This window comes from Homo sapiens, chromosome 5 (assembly GCF_000001405.40).
Source record: "Homo sapiens chromosome 5, GRCh38.p14 Primary Assembly".
Lineage (NCBI taxonomy): Eukaryota > Metazoa > Chordata > Mammalia > Primates > Hominidae > Homo > Homo sapiens.
Window position 1 is genome coordinate 141429606 of NC_000005.10, and position 21034 is coordinate 141450639.

Here is a 21034-nt window from a genome sequence, read left to right on the forward strand (position 1 = left end):
ATTTTATGTCTGATATTTTCTCACAGCTACCTATATATTTCTTCCCAATTTAAAATATATTATTTTATTTTATGCCTAGCAAATATCTTTACAGTATAAATATTTACGCTCATGAAAGTACGTAGCCAGTTATTTCTTAGGGAGAATTTTTTCCCTATATTTTGATGGGCTTCCAAAAGTATTACCAGTAATTCTCAGTAATTACAATTAGGTCAGTTACCCAGGAAAAGGTAAGTCTGTAACATTCTTTGGACTACCAATTTTCTTTTACTAAGTTTCCTGAACAATAAATATTTTTGAAATATAATGTATTAATAGAATTCTGGAGTACTTCCATTATTTCCAGTCAATGCAAGTTGGAATGCTTCTACTTTATGCTAAAAATATTAATGTTTCTTTTTCACTTGGGTTCTTGTTAAGTGTGATTCTGATAATGTATACAATCACATATCATTTTTAGGTTTCCATAATATCATGAAAATTTGATTTTTAAGCGTTACATGTCAACAACCTGGTAAAGTAATCCTTCCATTCAGGATCATTCAAGGAATCTATTTAAAAATATTTTCCCCAAATTATAGCTGAATCAGAAAGTTTAAATTATTATATTATATGATTTGTCAAAAAGAGAAACTCCTAGGGAGACATCTCCATAATAGGTGTGTTGGGGGAACAGTAATCTCAAAGCAGATGCACTAACATTATAAGATTAAAATCATTGTTTATAGAAACTTCCAATTCATTTAAAAGCTCATTGGGGAAAAAAAAGCTCATTGGGAAAAAAAAAAAAAGCTCACTAAAGTTTCTATTAAAGCGAATACGGTAGATTTCCATCCCCTTTTGAAGAACAGTAGGTGGAGCTATTTAAGATATAAAAACGAAATATCCTTTCTGGGAGTTCAAGATTGTGCAGTAATTGGTTAGGACTCTGAGCGCCGCTGTTCACCAATCGGGGAGAGAAAAGCGGAGATCCTGCTCGCCTTGCACGCGCCTGAAGCACAAAGCAGATAGCTAGGAATGAACCATCCCTGGGAGTATGTGGAAACAACGGAGGAGCTCTGACTTCCCAACTGTCCCATTCTATGGGCGAAGGAACTGCTCCTGACTTCAGTGGTTAAGGGCAGAATTGAAAATAATTCTGGAGGAAGATAAGAATGATTCCTGCGCGACTGCACCGGGACTACAAAGGGCTTGTCCTGCTGGGAATCCTCCTGGGGACTCTGTGGGAGACCGGATGCACCCAGATACGCTATTCAGTTCCGGAAGAGCTGGAGAAAGGCTCTAGGGTGGGCGACATCTCCAGGGACCTGGGGCTGGAGCCCCGGGAGCTCGCGGAGCGCGGAGTCCGCATCATCCCCAGAGGTAGGACGCAGCTTTTCGCCCTGAATCCGCGCAGCGGCAGCTTGGTCACGGCGGGCAGGATAGACCGGGAGGAGCTCTGTATGGGGGCCATCAAGTGTCAATTAAATCTAGACATTCTGATGGAGGATAAAGTGAAAATATATGGAGTAGAAGTAGAAGTAAGGGACATTAACGACAATGCGCCTTACTTTCGTGAAAGTGAATTAGAAATAAAAATTAGTGAAAATGCAGCCACTGAGATGCGGTTCCCTCTACCCCACGCCTGGGATCCGGATATCGGGAAGAACTCTCTGCAGAGCTACGAGCTCAGCCCGAACACTCACTTCTCCCTCATCGTGCAAAATGGAGCCGACGGTAGTAAGTACCCCGAATTGGTGCTGAAACGCGCCCTGGACCGCGAAGAAAAGGCTGCTCACCACCTGGTCCTTACGGCCTCCGACGGGGGCGACCCGGTGCGCACAGGCACCGCGCGCATCCGCGTGATGGTTCTGGATGCGAACGACAACGCACCAGCGTTTGCTCAGCCCGAGTACCGCGCGAGCGTTCCGGAGAATCTGGCCTTGGGCACGCAGCTGCTTGTAGTCAACGCTACCGACCCTGACGAAGGAGTCAATGCGGAAGTGAGGTATTCCTTCCGGTATGTGGACGACAAGGCGGCCCAAGTTTTCAAACTAGATTGTAATTCAGGGACAATATCAACAATAGGGGAGTTGGACCACGAGGAGTCAGGATTCTACCAGATGGAAGTGCAAGCAATGGATAATGCAGGATATTCTGCGCGAGCCAAAGTCCTGATCACTGTTCTGGACGTGAACGACAATGCCCCAGAAGTGGTCCTCACCTCTCTCGCCAGCTCGGTTCCCGAAAACTCTCCCAGAGGGACATTAATTGCCCTTTTAAATGTAAATGACCAAGATTCTGAGGAAAACGGACAGGTGATCTGTTTCATCCAAGGAAATCTGCCCTTTAAATTAGAAAAATCTTACGGAAATTACTATAGTTTAGTCACAGACATAGTCTTGGATAGGGAACAGGTTCCTAGCTACAACATCACAGTGACCGCCACTGACCGGGGAACCCCGCCCCTATCCACGGAAACTCATATCTCGCTGAACGTGGCAGACACCAACGACAACCCGCCGGTCTTCCCTCAGGCCTCCTATTCCGCTTATATCCCAGAGAACAATCCCAGAGGAGTTTCCCTCGTCTCTGTGACCGCCCACGACCCCGACTGTGAAGAGAACGCCCAGATCACTTATTCCCTGGCTGAGAACACCATCCAAGGGGCAAGCCTATCGTCCTACGTGTCCATCAACTCCGACACTGGGGTACTGTATGCGCTGAGCTCCTTCGACTACGAGCAGTTCCGAGACTTGCAAGTGAAAGTGATGGCGCGGGACAACGGGCACCCGCCCCTCAGCAGCAACGTGTCGTTGAGCCTGTTCGTGCTGGACCAGAACGACAATGCGCCCGAGATCCTGTACCCCGCCCTCCCCACGGACGGTTCCACTGGCGTGGAGCTGGCTCCCCGCTCCGCAGAGCCCGGCTACCTGGTGACCAAGGTGGTGGCGGTGGACAGAGACTCCGGCCAGAACGCCTGGCTGTCCTACCGTCTGCTCAAGGCCAGCGAGCCGGGACTCTTCTCGGTGGGTCTGCACACGGGCGAGGTGCGCACGGCGCGAGCCCTGCTGGACAGAGACGCGCTCAAGCAGAGCCTCGTAGTGGCCGTCCAGGACCACGGCCAGCCCCCTCTCTCCGCCACTGTCACGCTCACCGTGGCCGTGGCCGACAGCATCCCCCAAGTCCTGGCGGACCTCGGCAGCCTCGAGTCTCCAGCTAACTCTGAAACCTCAGACCTCACTCTGTACCTGGTGGTAGCGGTGGCCGCGGTCTCCTGCGTCTTCCTGGCCTTCGTCATCTTGCTGCTGGCGCTCAGGCTGCGGCGCTGGCACAAGTCACGCCTGCTGCAGGCTTCAGGAGGCGGCTTGACAGGAGCGCCGGCGTCGCACTTTGTGGGCGTGGACGGGGTGCAGGCTTTCCTGCAGACCTATTCCCACGAGGTTTCCCTCACCACGGACTCGCGGAAGAGTCACCTGATCTTCCCCCAGCCCAACTATGCAGACATGCTCGTCAGCCAGGAGAGCTTTGAAAAAAGCGAGCCCCTTTTGCTGTCAGGTGATTCGGTATTTTCTAAAGACAGTCATGGGTTAATTGAGGTGAGTTTATATCAAATCTTCTTTCTTTTTTTTTTTTAATTGCTCTGTCTCCCAAGCTGGAATGCAGCGGTACGATCATAGCTCACTGCAGCCTCAAACTCCTAGGCTCAAGCAATTATCCCACCTTTGCCTCCGGTGTAACAGGGACTACAGGTGCAAGCCACCTACTGTCTGCCTATCTATCTATCTATCTATCTATCTATCTATCTATCTATCTATCTATTACTTTCTTGTACAGACAGGAGTCTCACTATGTTGAGCAGGCTGATCTGAAACTTGGGCTCAGGCTAGCCTCCTGCTTCTCCCTCCCAAACTGCTGGGATTACAGGCGTGAACCACAGTGCCCCGCCCTTATCAGATATTCTTTTCTGGCTGGGCGCGGTGGCTCACGCCTGTAATCCCAGTACTTTGGGAGGCCGAGGCGGGTGGATCACCTGAGGTTGGGAGTTTGAGACCAGCCTGACCAACATGGAGAAACCCCGTCTATACTAAAAAAATACAAAATTAGCCGGGCGTGGTGGTGCATGTCTGTAATCCCAGCTACTTGGGAGGCTGAGTCAGGAGAATTGCTTTAACCTGGGAGGTGGAGGTTGCAATGAGCTGAGATTGTGCCATTGCACTCCAGCCTGGGCAACAAGAGTGAAACTCTATCTCAAAAAAAAAAAAAAAAAACTTTATCCTCTAGTTTCATCCATTGATGACACTTGCTTTAATCACTTATTACAATCACCTCCAAATGAAGATTTTATAATTCCATTGTTTCTTCTACAGTTGTTAATTGGCTTTCTACCTTGAAGAAGAGTTTTATATTCTCTATATATGTTTGTTTCTATGATTCTGGAAGCATGGTTTTCTATTTTATTCAATGGCCTGTAATCTGTTAATATCAATTATTTATTTTGATGCTGAAATTGTCCCAGGATTGGCCTTTGGGACTCCCTTTAGGCTGATTTCTATGTCCTTTCTGTTACAGCAAGCTTGGGATTATATCCAAGATTTGTAATTCCAATGTACTTACTTCTGTCAGTGTAAACAAAGTACGATTTCTGGACTAGATGACTTGGGCATTGTGGGGGAGGTGGAAATTAGAGGTATTCTCTGTTTTTCCTGTAGGATCTTGCATTTCTTCCTCTTGCTGCTTGTCTCTTTGTGTCGGGAACAGGCCCCCCAAAATCTGGCCATAAACTGGCCCCAAAACTGGCCATAAACAAAATCTCTGCAGCACTGTGACATGTTCATGATGGCCGTAATGCCCATGCTGGAAGGTAGTGGGTTTACCGGAATGAGGGCAAGGAACACCTGGCCCGCCCAGGGCAGAAAACTGCTTAAAGGTGTTCTTAAACCACAAACAATAGCATGAGTGATCTGTGCCTTAAGGACATGCCCCTGCTGCAGATAACTACCTCAATCCATCCCTTTATTTCCGCCCATCTCTTCGTTTCCCATAAGGGATACTTTTAGTTAATCTAATATCTATAGAAATGATGCTAATGACTGGCTTGCTGTTAATAAATATGTGGGTAAATCTCTGTTCAGGGCTCTCAGCTCTGAAGGCTATGAGACCCCTGATTCCCCACTTCACACTTCTAAAAAAAAAAAAATTTTTTTTTCTGAGCTTGGAGAAATATATCCCTTAGTACACTTGGCATTTATAAAGCAGACATCAATAAATTTATATATATGTGACAGATACCAACAACAATCCAGTCCCCTTCCCTCATACCTTATTTATGTACATATATTTTATATAATAGATATAATTTATTAACAATTTATAAAATTACTTTGTTAATACTCTATATCATTTTCTAGCTGAATTTATCAATGATAATGCTCTTTTCCCACTTTTATTTTTTTCCCATTGACCATGCAGCAGTTTTGTGTAGACCGTCTGATAACAACTGATCTGTTTATCTAGGGGGGAGAAATCTAATTCAATGGAAAATATAAATAAAATTGTGATAAACTTTTGTAAATAGAGTGGCTTTTAACTACACTTGAGATGGCTAGCAAATTCATAAAGTGAATTTACTTTCTTTCAAAGTTCAGTAATTCTTTCTGGCCATTAGGGATATGTCCATTTATACTTTCTCAGTATCCCAAGTCATTTCATGGTTTTAAATCATTCATGAACTTCCAAATATAGTGAATTTATTTCTTCTGCATTTAAAATTTTATCACTTAAATATACAATATACCGTATTGCCATGACGAAAAATGGTAAAGACTATTTTTCACTTCTGTTATGCATTTCATTAATACGATATCTGTATGTGTTTCCAAGTTAGACATTTCTTTTGCCCATTTCCTACACTAATGATACTAATGATGACTTTGTGGAATATTCAGAATTAACAAAATGTGTTTTGAGTGCTTTTTTTAGTACTGGGGCAAATTTGCAGTAATATCGCCTGCTTTTTACATTAAATTCCCCATAACTTTTACAACTATGGGAAAATTTCTGAAACGTGCACAGATTCCAAGTGTTTTCTGAGAACTTTATGCTTATTGTAGAGTGGTTACAGACACTGAATGCTAAAGTGTATTACTCTTTGAAAAGCATTGCTTGATTTCTTTTGGTGAATTCTGTAAAGGTGCAGGGAAACATAACGTCCCAATTATTTTTTCTTTCTTCTTTGTTTGCTGCCTATCTACTTTGAAAGATACAATAGTTAAAACCCAGAAAAGAGATTGGAAACCCCTTAGAGAATGAAAGACATCCAAGGGCTCTAAAATGCGGCAGTTGCTGCTTCTGAGACCAAAAAAGGGGGCAAAATATAGAGTGTGTGGTTCTACTTGTGTGATTTTTTGAAAGAAAGTATTTGAATTTATCTAAAAATACTAAATTTGTATTTACATTAGTTTTCAAATAGAATTTAATAAGTACAGTGTTCTATAGGTAATATTGAGAGAAATAGAGGACAATGAAACCTCTCTCCTCCATCATCTTGTATGAACTACCAAAATGTTTATCATATGGACAGTTCTCATATATAGTCAAATAGAAAGAAAGACATAATAGGAAAACAAATGACTTGGGAAACTAAGCTAACATGGTCTAATTATTCTGACCTCTGCTCACCTAACTTGATTTAGGAACAAATCATTGAGAGTTAGAGCATGAATAGTCAAGACTGTTAGACCATATCTCAAATATCAGTGACTTCAATCAACTATGTTTCCAGTTTAAGCTGAATAGGCTTTATTAAATAGTTGTTGAATGAATGGATAAACAAATAATGTACTCTGGGGATTACCTGATACCAGGATTCTGAATTTTCAGATGTATCATAGAAGGATAGCAGCTTTGCAATTAGGTAAATTGTTAACTGTGTCACCTTTAGCAAGTTATTTAATCTCTTTGAGCTTCAGCAAAGTAGGAATAATCATATCTAATTTGAAAGGTCGTGGTGATGGCTAGGGCTAACAAAAATCTGATTCACAACATGCAATTAATTAACAGTAGCCATTTTTAGTGGTTGACCAAAAAAAGGATTTATATTTTCAATGCCAGCACACTCGATGTTCTGTTGGGAAAAATAATAATGATTTTTGTGTGCTTCTCCATATGGTATAATGGAATGATTTGTGGATGGAAATAAAACTGTTCTAAAATTTTTGTGACAGCTGGTTTAAAAATCTTAAGTGCCTAGGCACATTCTTGATTGAGAAGCCACAGTTTTAGGCCATAAAAGATGGGGGAAAGATTTTTATATGAGACAATTTTGTGAGTGTTACTTTTTCTTTGTCTGAACCATAGTGAAATCTAAACAAGGATCTTGTGAAACTTATTTTAAAGAAGCAGTTTACTTCAATGGGATCTTAGATAATTTCACCAGAAAATGGATCACCGAAACCAGAAGGCTGGTGATCATTATTTGGTTTGGGCCATATAAGAATTGAAACTAACGGCTTAGCTTTAGGATTTTTAGGACACTTGTTGATAATTTAGGATTCATAATTAACATATGTGTTGATTGTTTTCTGAGACTAACTGGGCAATGGGTTTGGATGTGTTTACATTTATTCTGATTCCAGTCATAAAATTATGTCAAGGACTTTCCTTGTCTTTTTATGTGTATGACAGATGTGTATGTATCCATTTCATCTAACAAGTTAAAGCGTTCAGCTATAATTTAAAATTTGTAGCTTCACTGTTTTATAGTACCTAAAATTGGAATGTAATCAGTCAGAAGACATTCATCCACTGCTTTCATTCCAGAAGTATTATGCTTTTTGAAGCAGCAATAGCATAGGAATGTTGAGGAGACTATACTATACTTTTATAGCATATTTAATCTCGTAGATCACTTTTCAATGAATTATAAGGCTGATGACAAATGAGCAAATTGTATCAGTTTTCTTTATGACATGTAACAGAGTATAGCTGTGATCATGAATTGGATAGTTCTGGTGTAAAAATCTGCTTTATCCCCATATAAGATGTCAGGTTCAGAAAAGCAAACACATAGTTTCGAAGAGATGTTGATCAAACTGATGAGGCTAAATCTCAAGAAAGAGACACAGTTACCCTCTAATGTTACACTTTGAGTTCACCTTTTTTTTTTTTTTTGAGACAGAGTCTCAATCTGTCGCCAAGCTGGAGTGCAGTGGCACTATCTTGGCTCACTGCAACCTCTGCCTCCTGGGTTCATGCTATTCTCCTGCCTTAGCCTCCCGAGTAGCTGGGACTACAGGCACACGCCACCACACCCAGCTAATTTTTGTATTTTTAGTAGAGATGGGGTTTCACCATATTGGCCAGAATGGTCTTGATCTCTTGATCTTGGGATGCACCCACCCCACCTCAGCCTCCCAAATAGCTGAGATTACAGGTGTGAGCCACCATGCCCGACCACTTTGAGTTCACTTTTAAGAAACCATACTTAATGGAAAATTACCAGTAACAGGGCATACTGTTTAGGATGCATTCCTAAAATATTAATGGCAAAAGATAGCCAGCCTATGGCAAAGCTAATTGGAAAAAATATTTTATAAAGGATGAGACTTCTGGATACCATATGGGAAGGGCTCTGGTTCAGGAAAATGTTTTTAAAAAACTGTCATTGAAGAGACCATAGAATCAAACAAAATAATTTAATCTGTATGTAAAAGAAGTTGGTACCACCATAATTTTTCTTATACATGTCATATAAGGATCTACTCTGTGTATTGTCATTGAGGGCAGATATAATTTCTTAGTTCATCATTAACTCTCTGAAGTATTTCACACAGTAGTTTGTACACCTTCTAAGTACTCAATACAATGCTTGAGTTCAATTATTGGAAAGTGGTCTCTTGGAGAAAAAAGAATCATAGTGCAAAACCAATTATTTTACATGGACTTTTCCTCTATATCTAAGCCCTAATAAGAGGCAGCTGTCTGATATACATACATACATACATACATATATATATATATATATATATATATATATATATATATATATATACACACACACACACACATATATGTATATATATATTTGGAGTAGGGGATGGAGTCTTGCTCTGTCACCCAGGCTGGAGTGCAAGTGGTGTGATCTCAGCTCACTGCAACCTCTGCCTCCTGGGTTCAAGCGATTCTCCTGCCTCAGCCTCTCCAGTAGCTGGGATTACAGGCGCCTGTCACCATGCCCAGCTAATTTTTTAAAATATTTTTAGTAGAGACAGAGTTTCATCAAGTTGGCCAGGCTGCTCTTGAACTCCTGACCTCAGGTGATCCACCTGCCTTGGCCTCCCAAAGTGCTGGGATTATAGGCATGAGCCACCGCACCCTGCCAACTGTCTGACTTATCTTAAAAGGCTAAGGACCTGGTTTGTTTGTCAAATTTTGAAAATAGATGCCTCAGTTCATAAGATTTCCATATTGTGTGGCAGGCGCCTGTAATCCCAGCTACTCAGGAGGCTGAGGCAAGAGAATCACTTGAACCCGGGAGACAGAGGTTGCAGTGAGCTGAGATCACGCCACTGCACTCCAGCCTGGGCGACATAGTGAGACTCTGACAAAAAAAAAAAAAAATCCATATGTGAAAATTCTTAGAAGCTTCCTATACAATTTCAGCTGAAGATTCAGCCAACAGTTCATTCTGAGACTGTGTTCCATGGAAAAAGTAAAGCCCAGGCATGGAAGTGGGAATGGAAAGAAAGATTCTAAGCCTACAAATACTCAAACATCAAGAAGAAATAAAAATAAGTCATCACTTCGACTTCATGTGCTAACATCACTGAGGTTATAAATTCCCAGGAATATTTTATTGCGGGAGCAAGACTGCACTGCTGCCTTTCAGCTTGCAAATTCCAGTGAGAAACGTCTTTCTCTCTGCTCTCAACTAACTCTACAGAACGCTGTCCTCTCATTTCTTCAGGCTGCAGTTCTAGAGTAGGGACTCAGAGTGCCACTGTTGGCCAGTCTGGAAACAGAGATAAATGAGCCAATCCCCAGACATTCCGGCTTGGTGGCTTTTCTAATTTCATGGAATGCAAATCCAAGAGCAGACCCACAACATTCCTATTATGGCTCCTAGTTCTACAAATTATAAGCAGGAACGGAACGGATTTACAGGCAATGAGTTCAGCTCCTTCTTGGCTGGAGATTCTATAATCCAAGAAGAGTTTGAAAAGGGGCTTATTTGGGCTGGAGCAGCAGCAACTCTAACTGTGGAAAAGGTGGGGAATGGTGCTGGACTGACAGTCTGGGTAGAACCAAGGCGACTACTGCCTCCTTTCCTGCTATTTCTATCCTGCTGGGCATTCTCTATGATGCAGATCCGTTATTCAGTCCTAGAGGAGCTGGCCAAGAGTTTGGTGGTGGGAAACCTTGCCAAGGATCTGGGACTCAGTGTCGAGGACATGCCCACTTGAAAGCTTCGGGTTAATGCTGAGGAATAATACTTCATTCTAAGTGGGGAAAGTGGAGACTTACTTGTGAATGACTGAATGGATCAGGAGCAGATACGCCCCCCAATTATAGCTTGGGCCATAACGCTTTGAAATAGTTGAAGGCCAGGCATGGTGGCTCACACCTGTAATCCCAGCACTTTGGGAGGCCGAGGCGAGCAGATTACGAGGTCAGGAGTTCGAGACCAGCCTGACCAACATAGTGAAACCCTGTCTCTACTAAAAATACAAAAATTACTGGGCATGGTGGTGCAGGCCTATAATCCTAGCTACTCGGGGGGCCGAGGCAGGAGAATCGCTTGAACCCGAGAGGCAATCGCACCACTGCACTCCAGCCTGGGTGACAGAGCAAGGCGCCATCTCAAAAAAAATGAACAAACGGTAGTTGAAAATTCTTTAAATGTTTTTCACATTAATATGGAGATTCAGGATATGAAGAATCATGCACCACGGTTCAGCAGGAATGTTATTAAGTTACGTATCTCTGAGTTTACCCAGCTGGAACAAGATTTGCAACAGAACCTGCAGAAGATCCTGATGTTGAGAGAAATTCCTTACAAAATTATCACCTTAGCAGCAACTCTATATTTCTCTTTGAAGTAAAAGTGACCAACAGTGGAAAGACATATGTTGATCCTGTGTTAGAGAAGCTGCTTGACTAGGAAAAGCAGAGCTCCCATCCCTTAGTGCTAGCAGCCTTAGACGGCCCCCCAACAAAGCAGCATCACTCAACTCCTGATCCTATTGGTTGAAGCCAATGACAACCCTGTGTTCATCTAGGATGTGTACAGCGTCGGCCTTCAGGAAGATGTGCATCCGGGCACTCCTGTGCTGAGAGTGAGGGCCACCAACCAGGACTAGAGTGTCAAGGCAGAGATCACATATGGCTTCACAACCCAGAGTACCCATATCTAGTTTGGCCTTGATCAAATAGTGGAGAAATGAAAACTTTAAGTACATTGGACTTTTAAAGATTTTTAATTTCCATGGTTTTGGTAGCAAGTGACAGAGAGGGACTCATTGTCCAGTGTACAGTTGAGACCGAATTTCTAGAAGATAATGACAATATCCTAGAGGCGATTTTTACTTCTAATTCCACAATGATTCCCAAAGATTCTGCACCTTGGACAGTAATCACTGTCCAGGATTTAAATCACAAGATCTTTAAATCACAAGATCTGGATTCGGGAGAAAACGAGGTCACATGTCTGATATAAGAAAATGCACCTTGAGAAAAATCTTCCTCCAATAATTAACTACATGCTTGTAACAAATGGGGCCGTGGACCAGGAACAGACCCAAGGTATAACATCAGCATCACTGCCACTGACAGAGGCAAACCAACCCTCTCGTCCAGCCCAAGCATCACCCTACTCATTGGCGATGCCAACGACAATGCTCTGGTTTTCTACCAGGCCTCCTACGTCGTCCACGTGGCCAAGAACAATCTTCCCAAAGCCTCCATAGTGTGCAAGTAGACACCTCCAACCTAGACTTGGGACCCAACAGCCAAGTTCCCTATTCCATCGTGGCCAGTGACCTGGAGCCACAGGCGCTGTGATTCTAGGTGTCCTTGAGCGCACAGTGCGCCTTCGACCAAGAGCAGCCGCGAGCCTTCAAGCTCACGCTGCAGGCCCGCGACCAGGACTAGCTCGCGCTCGGCGTCAACGTGAGCCTGCGCGTGTTGGTGGACGACCTGAATGACAACGCACCGCGGGTGCTGTACCCCAGCTCTGGAGCGCAATGGCTTCGCGCTCTTGGATATGGTGCTGCACGCCGCGGAGCCTGGCTACCTGGTCACCAAGGTGGTGGCTGTAGACGCAGATGTGAGACACAATGCGTGGCTGTCCTACCACGTGCTGCAGGCCAGCAAGCCCAGGCTCTTCAGCCTGGAATGCGCACCGACGAGGTGCTGACAGCTCGCACGATGGGCCACAGGAAAGCGACTCGCCAGCGCCTACTGGTCGCGGTGCACTGCGGTGGACAGCCGCTCCTCTCGCTACCGCCACGTCACCACCACTACCGCCCCTCGTCGCCGACAGCCTGCAGGAGACTCTGCCAGACCTCAGCGATCACTCTGCAAAGCTACAGCCTGAATCCAAAATTAATTTATATCTGGTGATTGCCTTAGCTTTAATTTCCTTTTTATTCTTCCTGATTGCATTGTTTGTGCTGGTTTTAAAGTGCCGAAGACCCCAAAATGATCCTGTCTGAGTCTTTCCCACGGATGTCTATCCCGCGCTAAGCCCCAGGTTTCTGGGTAACTGTAGCTCTATGATGCCATATTCCTACCAGGTGTGTGCTTCTCCTACGAATCCAGGGCTGAGTGAACTTCTTTTTTGAATCCCTACCCCTCAGGACTCAATAGCAGTTTCACTGCAGAAAGCCCCTTGGGGAAGGGGATGATTGTGATTATTCTAATTGCTTGGGCAGAATCCACTCTCCAAGGTGAAAAATTCTTGATGAAACTAAGTTCAGTCACAAGCAGGTTTTCTTCTAGCATTAAATATTTTCAGAGATCTCAGTAAAAAGCATTTCTAGCAGCAAGACCAAAGGCCTAAGATGAGAAATATTTGGCATGGTGAGCTTGAGGGACAGTAGTCAGGCAGACAAGAGTATCAGACATGCCAGAGCATTTGGGGCCTGTAGGTAAGGAGCATGTTTTGATTATATATATTTGTATGTGTTTGATTATATTTTATAATTTTACTTTGATATTCAAATTGTACTGATCCAAAAATAAGGGAGGGACAAATCTTGGCCATTGTAGTATGAGAGATGTAAATTTACAACTCAGAATCCCTGCTTATCACTTCTCCTTCAGCACACAACTGTTTCATTTTCTATTTAAGAAACTTCCTCTCACTGCAAAAAGACATTCTGGCTGATAAAGTTAGCCTATAATTTCAGTAAATCTAAGAATATGACTAATGGAAGTTGCCAGACCTAAACTTTGAAAATTATTGTTCCACTGAAGAGCGTCTTATGACTGAGTGTTCCAGTCTCCTTCTCAAGCTGAACCTTGCTTTTCAAACCAGATTAAGAACACTATCATAAGTTATACTGCATTTTATTTCCCTACCCATGTCCACTGCATCATTCTCTATAGTACAAAGAGCTTGTCTCGCCAGGCGCATCTATAATCTTAGCACTTTGGGGCGCCAAGGCGGGTGGATCACTTGAGCCCAGGAGTTTGAGACCAGCCTGGACAGCATGGCAAAAACCCATCTCTACAAAAAAAAAAAACAAAAATTAACAAGGTTTAGTGGTCCATGCCTGTGGTCTCAGCTACTTGGGAGGCTGAGGTGTGAGGATCACCTGAGTCTGGGGAGATTGAAGCTGCAGTGAGCTGTGGTTGCGCTCCTGTACTCCAGTCTGGGTGACAGAATTAGACCCTGTCCCAAAACAAACAAACAAATAAAGAGCTTCTCTCCTTATGACTTATTTAAAGCTTGGGAAATTGTTCCAATTCAAATGCTTTAAATGGACTTGAGCTAAAACAGAATGTGGTATATGAAATGTTCTTATAATCAGGTGATTGTAAAAATTGATCCAGATAATGTTAGCATAGCATTTTACTGAACTAGTAGTTTACAAACACTTCAAAAATTATAGAATAACATTTGCATATAAAATTCCTCATACATTTCCCTATCAGTGAATTGGAAGCTTACAATATACAATATTACCAAAAAGACAAAAAAAATGAAAAGGAAACAGTTACCTTTGGAAAACATAATTAGGTAAAATGGGTAATATGGAAAGTCTGAAAACTGAAAAAATTACTGATAAGTCAAGAGAAAAGGAATATTAGTAGGAAAATTCATAAAAGTGTGTCTGACTACTCACAGCAGGTTTCCTTATTGGTATGTATTCTGTGGTCCATCTAAGCTATGTTAATTTTATTTTAAATGCTACCTGGGTATTGGCTTCTAAAAGGAATTCAGTAAATCAGATAATTTGGCATCTTCAATCTAGATTCTGATGCTCACCTGAAAAGTCTGCTAAGGATTGGAAACCAAGAAAAGTGAAGTATCTCAACAGATATGTGTCACTTGTGTGTACTGGATTTTTTTTTTTTTTTTTTTTTTTTTTTTTTTTTTTTGAGATGGAGTTTCACTCTTGTTGCCCAGGCTGGAGTGCAATGGCATGCTCTCGGCTCACTGCAACCTCCGCCTCCCAGGTTCAAGTGATTCTCCTGCCTCAGCCTCCCTAGTAGCTAGGATTACAGGCATGTGCCACCACGCCCAGCTAATTTTGTATTTTTAGTAGAGACGGGGTTTCTCCATGTTGGTCAGGCTAGTCTTGAACTCCCAACCTCAGGTGATCTTCCCTCCTTGGCCTCCCAAAGTGCTGGGATTACAGGCATGAGTCACTGCGCCCGGTCGCGTACTGGATTTATATTGTGTAATACTTTGCTCTAGCAGTATAGTAGGTGAGACAGTGACTGTGTCTAGTGAGCAAAAGGCACTTATTTGACACTTTTGACTCTTCCTTTCTACTTACCTTATTTAAAATTGATTTTTGCATGTGGCATGATGCACCAGTTCATTGAGGTAGGGGTTGAAGTTATTTCCCATTTTTTTCAATACCATTTATTAAAAATATTTTCCTCTTTCTGTTGAATTTGCTTGGTGCCTTTGTTGAAAGTCATTTCACTGATATATGTAGTTCTATTTCTATATTCTTGATCATGTTTCATTTGTCTATTCTTTTACTAATAGCACACTGTCTCAATTATTGTAGCTTTATAGTAAGTCTTGCTACAAAGTCTTACTACAGGACAAAGCTTGTAGGATTTTTGAATGGGATGGCATTGCATCTATACCTTTATCAGGGAAAGAGGGAAGGAGGGAGGAGGATCATCTTAACAATATTGACACTTCAAATCCATGAACATGGTATATATTTCCATTTAATTAGGTCTTTAATTTCTCTCAGCTATGTTGTATAGTTTTCAGTGTAGAGAGGTCATGTATATTTCTCATTAAATTGTCCCTACATATTTGATGTTTTCTAATGTTATTGTAAATAGTATTTTTAAAATTGTATCTTCTAATTGTTCATTTCTAGTTTACAGAAAAATGAAAAACTATGTTTTTATGTATTCTATATGCTTTTGAAAAGTAAGAGGTGCAAAGTGCTCTATTCTTACACTATATTGTGTGAGAATATAAGTCGAAACCACTCTGCATAAGTTCAGGCTTCCATTCTCTTCAGTTTGTAGGTTGAGAGAACCCATCCAGAAACAGTAAACATTGGTGTCTGCCCAAGTCTGGTCCTGGGTGGTTCATTCATTCATTTACATAACAAATATTTATTAACTGTCTGCTATATGCAAGGCACTGACCTATGGACTAAGGATGCAGCAATGAACAAGGCATATATGATTCCTGAGTTAATGGGCCCTATTCTAATACATGATATTTTACAGGTCTGATAAAAGCCAACAAGGAGAAATACAAAAGCACTAAGAGAAAGCTTATAGTAGGGAAGCTTCGCCTAATCTGAAGGTCAAGGAAGGCTTTCTTTTTTTCGGAAAGTGATATTTAGAGAGATGAATAGATTAATAGGATGAGTAGAAGTTATCTAGGTAACAAGGAAAGTAAAAAAGAAATTGTCAGGCAGAGGAAATAGCATGTGTAAAGATCTTTTTAAAAAATAAAAGGTGTGACTCAAGCAATTTAAAAGGGCTAGGGAGGCTAGAAACAGAAAATAAATAGATGAAACTAATAAGGCAGGGAGAGCCTTGTAAATCACACTTAAAATTCTGGATTTTGTTCTAAATACCCTTGTACTTAGGAGCTATTAAAATATTTTAAACAAGGCAGTGACAAGATATTTGAATTATTAAGCTTACTCTGGCTGCTATATGGAGAATTGATTTATGAGGGTTATAAATAGAAATAGGAAGATAAGATAGGAGACTATGGCAATATTCCTGGTAAGAAATGGAAGAAGAGCTGGCTTGGATTAAAGGGGAGGCAGTGGATGTAGAAATAAATGGATGAATTATAGATATATTTAGGAAATGGGTTCAATAAGACTTAATAATGGAATAGGTGGAATATAAATTTCATGAGGGCAGGGGGTGTTTTGTTTATTATTATATTCCTAGGTGTCTGAAAATATTGTTGTGTTGCCTGGCAAGTGGTAGATCTTCAGTGAAATATTATTAACTGAATAAATACAATGGATAAATGGGGAGCAGGGATTAAGAGTGATTCCTGGGTTTCCACATTAAGGAACTGGATGGACAAAGCTACCATTTGATGAGAATGGAAGACTAAAGAATGATAGATTTAAGAGAAATCGAGTTGAGTTCCAGCCATGTTCATTTGAAGGATCTGAGAAACAGTGCAGATATTCAGTGTGTGATTAGACATATGGTCATCATTCTTTTTTTTTTTTGAGATGGAGTCTCGCTCTGTCACCCAGGCTGGAGTGCAGTGGCCCTATCTCTGCTCACTGCAATCTCTGCCTCCCAGGTTCAAGTGATTCTTCTGCCTCAGCCTCCTGAGTAGCTGGGACTACAGGCGTGCACCACCACGCCTGGCTAATTTTTGTATTTTTAGTACAAGACAGCATTTCACCATATTGGCCAGGCTGGTCTCGAACTCTGATCTGCCCGCCTCGGCCTCCCAAAGTGTGGGGATTACAGGCGTGAGCCACCGCGCCCAGCCGGTTACCATTCTTTTACTCTGAGTTCTTCCATTGTGATCATCTAGTCAGATGGGTAGATCCTTATAAGGCTGAGCATAATAAGCTTCCTGATAGCTCTACACTGGTATGTTTTGGGGTTCATGGCTGAGCTACTTTTGTGTTTTATTTATCTTCCTGATCTCTTTTTCACTGTAAGAAACATCCAGCACCCAGGGAAATTTGCTGTCTAATTCATACTCCACTCTTCAGACTAGTCCTAGTGTTCAGTTTTGTTTTGTTTTTTTTCTGTGTCTGGAATTCTATTAAAATGTGTCAGGCTGTTTTAATTTTTGTTGTTTAATTTTCTTTCACATGATTATATGTGCTCCATGGATTTTTTTGTTTGTTTGTTTTTTGTTTTTGTTTTTGTTTAAGCGGGGTCTTGCTCTTGTCGCGCAGGCTGGAGTGCAATGGCTTGATCTCGGCTCACTGCAACCTCCGCCTCCCGGGTTCAAGTGATTCTTCTGTCTCAGCCTCCCAAGTAGCTGGGACTACAGGCACATGCCACCACACCCGGCTAATTTTTGTATTTTTAGTAGAGACGGGTTTCATCATATTGGTCAGGCTGGTCTCAAACTCCTGACCCTGGTGATCTGCCCACCTCGGCCTCCCAAAGTGCTGGGATTACAGGCGTGAGCCACCGCACCCGGAGGAAATTTTTAACCTCAGTTTTTCTTCACCATCTGTAAAACTGCATAGAAGGAATGTTTAGGATAAAAGATGCATAACAATCATAACAAAATTGTTGGGTTTTAATGTTATGAGTACACTTGGAGGATTCTATGTCCACACATACCTTAAACATCCTATAGAGTCCTTAGCATTTTAAAGTTGAAACCAACAGTATGAATGATGGTAGAATTTTCCCCCCCAGGAAGTTAGAACTGTTCCATATCTTGATAGAGGGATGGGTTATAAGGATGTACACATTTTCCAAAACTCATTGAACTTAAGAGTCTTGCATGTGACTGTATATAAATTATACTTTAATTGAAAATAAATTTAAGAAAATAAAATTGGCTGGGCGTGGTGGCTCACGCCTGTAATCCCAGTGCTTTGGGAGGCCGAGGTGGGTGAATCATCTGAGGTCAGGAGTTCGAGACCAGCCTGGCCAACATGGTGAAACTCTGTCTCCACTAAAAATACAAAAATTAGCTGGGCATGGTGGCGGACACCTATAATCCCAGCTACTCGGGAGGCTGAGGCATGAGAATCGCTTGAACCCAGGAGGTGGAGGTTGCAGTGAGCCAAGATCATGCCATTGCTCTCCAGCCTGGGCAACATGAACGAAATGCCATCTTAAAAAAAAAAAATTAAAAGAAAAGAAAATTAGCCTCCCCCACCCTCACTATACCTCAGACTCACCCCTGAAAGATCACTACTATTCATCCCTGGTTATGTACACTTACAAACATTTTCTGTGTGTATGCGAATGTATGTGTGGGGTTTTCTTTGCACAACAGGATCATTTTACAGTATATATACTGTTGTGCAACTTGCTCTTTCCACTTAATATCTCAAGGAATCTTTTCTTTGAATCTTTATAGCCATGTACCTCAATCTTAGTAGTTTTCTTTATTTTATTTTTGAATAGGAAATACATTTACATGGTTTTAAAAATCAAAACAATATACTATGTATATATTGAGAAGTCTGACTTCCATCCCTATCCTACTCCTATTCCACCCTTGCTTCCTCCTGTCCCCTGTAGGTAAACATTTTATAACTTTATTAAGCATCCTGTCAGCATTTCTTATGCAAATATGTACATATATTTTTATTTCCCCATTTTTTTTACAAAAAGATAAAATACTATACACCACTTTATATCTTCCTTTCTTCACATTATATCCTTTAAAAATATTTCCATATTGGCCGGGCGCGGTGGCTCACGCCTGTAATCGCAGCACTTTGGGAGGCCGAGGCGGGAGGATCACGAGGTCAGGAGATCGAGACCATCCTGGCTAACACGGTGAAACCCCGTCTGTACTAAAAATACAAAAAAAAAAATTAGCCAGGCGTGATGGCGGGCGCCTGTAGTCCCAGCTACTCTGGAGGCTGAGGCAGGAGAATGGCGTGAACCTGGGAGGCGGAGCTTGCAGTGAGCCGAGATCGTGCCACTGCACTCCAGCCTGGGCGACAGAGCAAGACTGCAACTCAAAAAAACAAACAAACAAACAAAAAAGAACTTCCATATTAATATATAGAAAGCTGTTTTTTTTAACAGTTGCTTAGCATTCCTTTGGATTATTAACCAGTCTCATAAATGAGCGCTATTGAATAGCCCTGTACCTACATCAGTTTTTACATATGCAGTATATCTTTGGGATGAATTCCCAGAAATGGAATTGAAATTGCTGGGTCAAAGAGGAAATAGGTGTAATTTTCTTAGGTATTTTCACAAGAAGTGTTAATTCTAACTTTCTGTTTTGAAATGATTTCAAATTTTCAAAGGAGTTGCAAGAATTGTACAAAGAACTGTATCTCCTTCACCCGGATGCACCGGGTGAATTATATGTATTATATAATTGTATCTGTAGGCCAGGTGCAGTGGCTCACTCCTGTAATCCCAGCACTTTGGGAGGCTGAGGCAGGTGGATTACTTGAGGCCAGGAGTTCAAGACCAGCCTGGCCAACATGATAAAACTCCATCTCTACTAAAAATACAAAAATTAGCCAGGCCTGGTACCCCATGCCTAAGGGTGAGGCATGAGAAATGCTTGAACCTGGGAGGCGGAGGTTGCAGTGAGCCGAGATCGCACCACTGCACTCCAGCCTGGGCGACAGAGCAAGACTCTGTCTCAAAAAAAAAAAAAAAAAAAGTAAAAAAGTTTTTTAAAAAGATGTATCTATATATACATATTTACATACACACCCAAGTGTGTATGTATATATGTTTGTGTGTATGTACACAAACACATTATTTTTATATGATATGATTTTTTTATGACATGATTATTTTTATGACATTTGAGAGTAAGTTGTAGAAATTATGTTTCTTTATTCCTAAATACCTCATTGTGTATTTCCTAACAAGGACATTCTTTTATATAATTAAATTTTAATAATAAAAATCAGAAAATTTAACATCAATGCAATATAATTATTTAGCCTATAGTCCATATTTAAATTCTACCATACCTTATAGTATATTTTACTATACCTCATAGTAATTTTTTTTAGTCCAAAATATCACACATTGCATTTAGTTGCCATGTCTCTTTTTTTTTTTTTTTTTTGAGACAGGGTCTCACTCTTTCGCCCAGGCTGGAATGCAGTGGTATGATCTTGGCTCACTGCAACCTCCGCCTCCCAGGTTCAAATGATTCTCCTGCCTTAGCCTCCTGAGTAGCTGGGACTACAGGCATGTGCCACCACACTCCCACCACACCCAGCTAATTTTTGTATTTTTAGTAGAGACAAGGTTTCACTATGTTGGCCAGGCTAGTCTTGAACTCCTGACCTCAAGTGATCTGCCCACCTCAGCTAAGTGCTGGGATTACAGGCGTGAGCCACCATGTGTGGCCTAGTTGCCATGTCTCTTTAATCTACTTTAATCTGAAACAGTTCCTCAGCCTTGTTTGTTTATATGAAACTGACATTTGTAAAGACTAGAAGCCATTTGTCTTGTATAATGCCTTTAATTTATATTTGTTTTATGTTTCCTCGTGATTTTATATATAGAGTTTGTTTGTTTGTTTGTCTGTTTGTTTGTTTTGAGATGGAGTCTCATTCTTGTCACCCAGGCTGGAATGCAGTGGCGCAGTCTCGGCTCACTGCAACTTCTGCCTCCCAGGTTCAAGCAATTCTCCTGCCTCAGCCTCCTGAGTAGCTGGGATTACAGATGCCTGCCA

The 21034-nt window shown here is 41.7% G+C and overlaps 19 protein-coding genes, 1 pseudogene and 1 further gene across 21 annotated transcripts in view, besides 2 other annotated features; all 21 read left to right on the forward strand.

The window, feature by feature from the left end:
- Positions 1-21034, forward strand: part of PCDHGA1 (protocadherin gamma subfamily A, 1) — a 182462-nt gene that overhangs the window by 99092 nt on the left and 62336 nt on the right. The gene's annotated exons all lie outside the window — the stretch shown is intronic.
- The window catches only part of PCDHG@ (protocadherin gamma cluster), a 182295-nt gene that overhangs the window by 98921 nt on the left and 62340 nt on the right, over positions 1-21034 (forward strand).
- Positions 1-21034, forward strand: part of PCDHGA2 (protocadherin gamma subfamily A, 2) — a 174216-nt gene that overhangs the window by 90846 nt on the left and 62336 nt on the right. The gene's annotated exons all lie outside the window — the stretch shown is intronic.
- PCDHGA3 (protocadherin gamma subfamily A, 3) overlaps positions 1-21034 on the forward strand; it is a 169147-nt gene that overhangs the window by 85777 nt on the left and 62336 nt on the right. The window lies entirely within an intron of this gene.
- The window catches only part of PCDHGB1 (protocadherin gamma subfamily B, 1), a 162877-nt gene that overhangs the window by 79507 nt on the left and 62336 nt on the right, over positions 1-21034 (forward strand). The gene's annotated exons all lie outside the window — the stretch shown is intronic.
- Positions 1-21034, forward strand: part of PCDHGA4 (protocadherin gamma subfamily A, 4) — a 157955-nt gene that overhangs the window by 74585 nt on the left and 62336 nt on the right. The window lies entirely within an intron of this gene.
- PCDHGB2 (protocadherin gamma subfamily B, 2) overlaps positions 1-21034 on the forward strand; it is a 152982-nt gene that overhangs the window by 69612 nt on the left and 62336 nt on the right. The window lies entirely within an intron of this gene.
- PCDHGA5 (protocadherin gamma subfamily A, 5) overlaps positions 1-21034 on the forward strand; it is a 148814-nt gene that overhangs the window by 65444 nt on the left and 62336 nt on the right. The gene's annotated exons all lie outside the window — the stretch shown is intronic.
- The window catches only part of PCDHGB3 (protocadherin gamma subfamily B, 3), a 142734-nt gene that overhangs the window by 59364 nt on the left and 62336 nt on the right, over positions 1-21034 (forward strand). The gene's annotated exons all lie outside the window — the stretch shown is intronic.
- The window catches only part of PCDHGA6 (protocadherin gamma subfamily A, 6), a 139085-nt gene that overhangs the window by 55715 nt on the left and 62336 nt on the right, over positions 1-21034 (forward strand). The gene's annotated exons all lie outside the window — the stretch shown is intronic.
- PCDHGA7 (protocadherin gamma subfamily A, 7) overlaps positions 1-21034 on the forward strand; it is a 130234-nt gene that overhangs the window by 46864 nt on the left and 62336 nt on the right. The window lies entirely within an intron of this gene.
- The window catches only part of PCDHGB4 (protocadherin gamma subfamily B, 4), a 125278-nt gene that overhangs the window by 41908 nt on the left and 62336 nt on the right, over positions 1-21034 (forward strand). The window lies entirely within an intron of this gene.
- The window catches only part of PCDHGA8 (protocadherin gamma subfamily A, 8), a 120343-nt gene that overhangs the window by 36973 nt on the left and 62336 nt on the right, over positions 1-21034 (forward strand). The gene's annotated exons all lie outside the window — the stretch shown is intronic.
- The window catches only part of PCDHGB5 (protocadherin gamma subfamily B, 5), a 115029-nt gene that overhangs the window by 31659 nt on the left and 62336 nt on the right, over positions 1-21034 (forward strand). The window lies entirely within an intron of this gene.
- The window catches only part of PCDHGA9 (protocadherin gamma subfamily A, 9), a 110198-nt gene that overhangs the window by 26828 nt on the left and 62336 nt on the right, over positions 1-21034 (forward strand). The window lies entirely within an intron of this gene.
- Positions 1-21034, forward strand: part of PCDHGB6 (protocadherin gamma subfamily B, 6) — a 104955-nt gene that overhangs the window by 21585 nt on the left and 62336 nt on the right. The gene's annotated exons all lie outside the window — the stretch shown is intronic.
- The window catches only part of PCDHGA10 (protocadherin gamma subfamily A, 10), a 99989-nt gene that overhangs the window by 16619 nt on the left and 62336 nt on the right, over positions 1-21034 (forward strand). The gene's annotated exons all lie outside the window — the stretch shown is intronic.
- PCDHGB7 (protocadherin gamma subfamily B, 7) overlaps positions 1-21034 on the forward strand; it is a 95299-nt gene that overhangs the window by 11929 nt on the left and 62336 nt on the right. The window lies entirely within an intron of this gene.
- The window catches only part of PCDHGA11 (protocadherin gamma subfamily A, 11), a 91925-nt gene that overhangs the window by 8555 nt on the left and 62336 nt on the right, over positions 1-21034 (forward strand). The gene's annotated exons all lie outside the window — the stretch shown is intronic.
- Positions 798-937: an enhancer, noted in NCBI's record as "active region_23296". NCBI's record gives its function as "activates an Ori minimal core promoter by ATAC-STARR-seq in GM12878 lymphoblastoid cells {active_cell/tissue: GM12878}" and the evidence as "EXISTENCE:reporter gene assay evidence [ECO:0000049][PMID:35858748]".
- PCDHGA12 (protocadherin gamma subfamily A, 12) overlaps positions 902-21034 on the forward strand; it is an 82469-nt gene continuing 62336 nt past the window's right edge. Inside the window, exon 1 of one of the 2 annotated variants that reach the window (NM_003735.3) lies at positions 902-3578. In NM_003735.3, coding sequence (NP_003726.1) covers positions 1155-3578 — 2424 coding nt within the window. In that variant the 5' untranslated portion in view covers positions 902-1154. Of the gene's footprint in view, positions 3618-21034 lie in introns of those variants that run through there. The other variant, NM_032094.2, reaches the window with a different exon arrangement.
- PCDHGB9P (protocadherin gamma subfamily B, 9 pseudogene) lies at positions 10518-12821 on the forward strand (annotated as a pseudogene).
- Positions 12321-12821: an enhancer, noted in NCBI's record as "H3K4me1 hESC enhancer chr5:140821493-140821993 (GRCh37/hg19 assembly coordinates)". NCBI's record gives its function as "activates a minimal SCP1, AML or CMV promoter by ChIP-STARR-seq in naive H9 embryonic stem cells {active_cell/tissue: H9 hESC(naive)}" and the evidence as "EXISTENCE:reporter gene assay evidence [ECO:0000049][PMID:30033119]".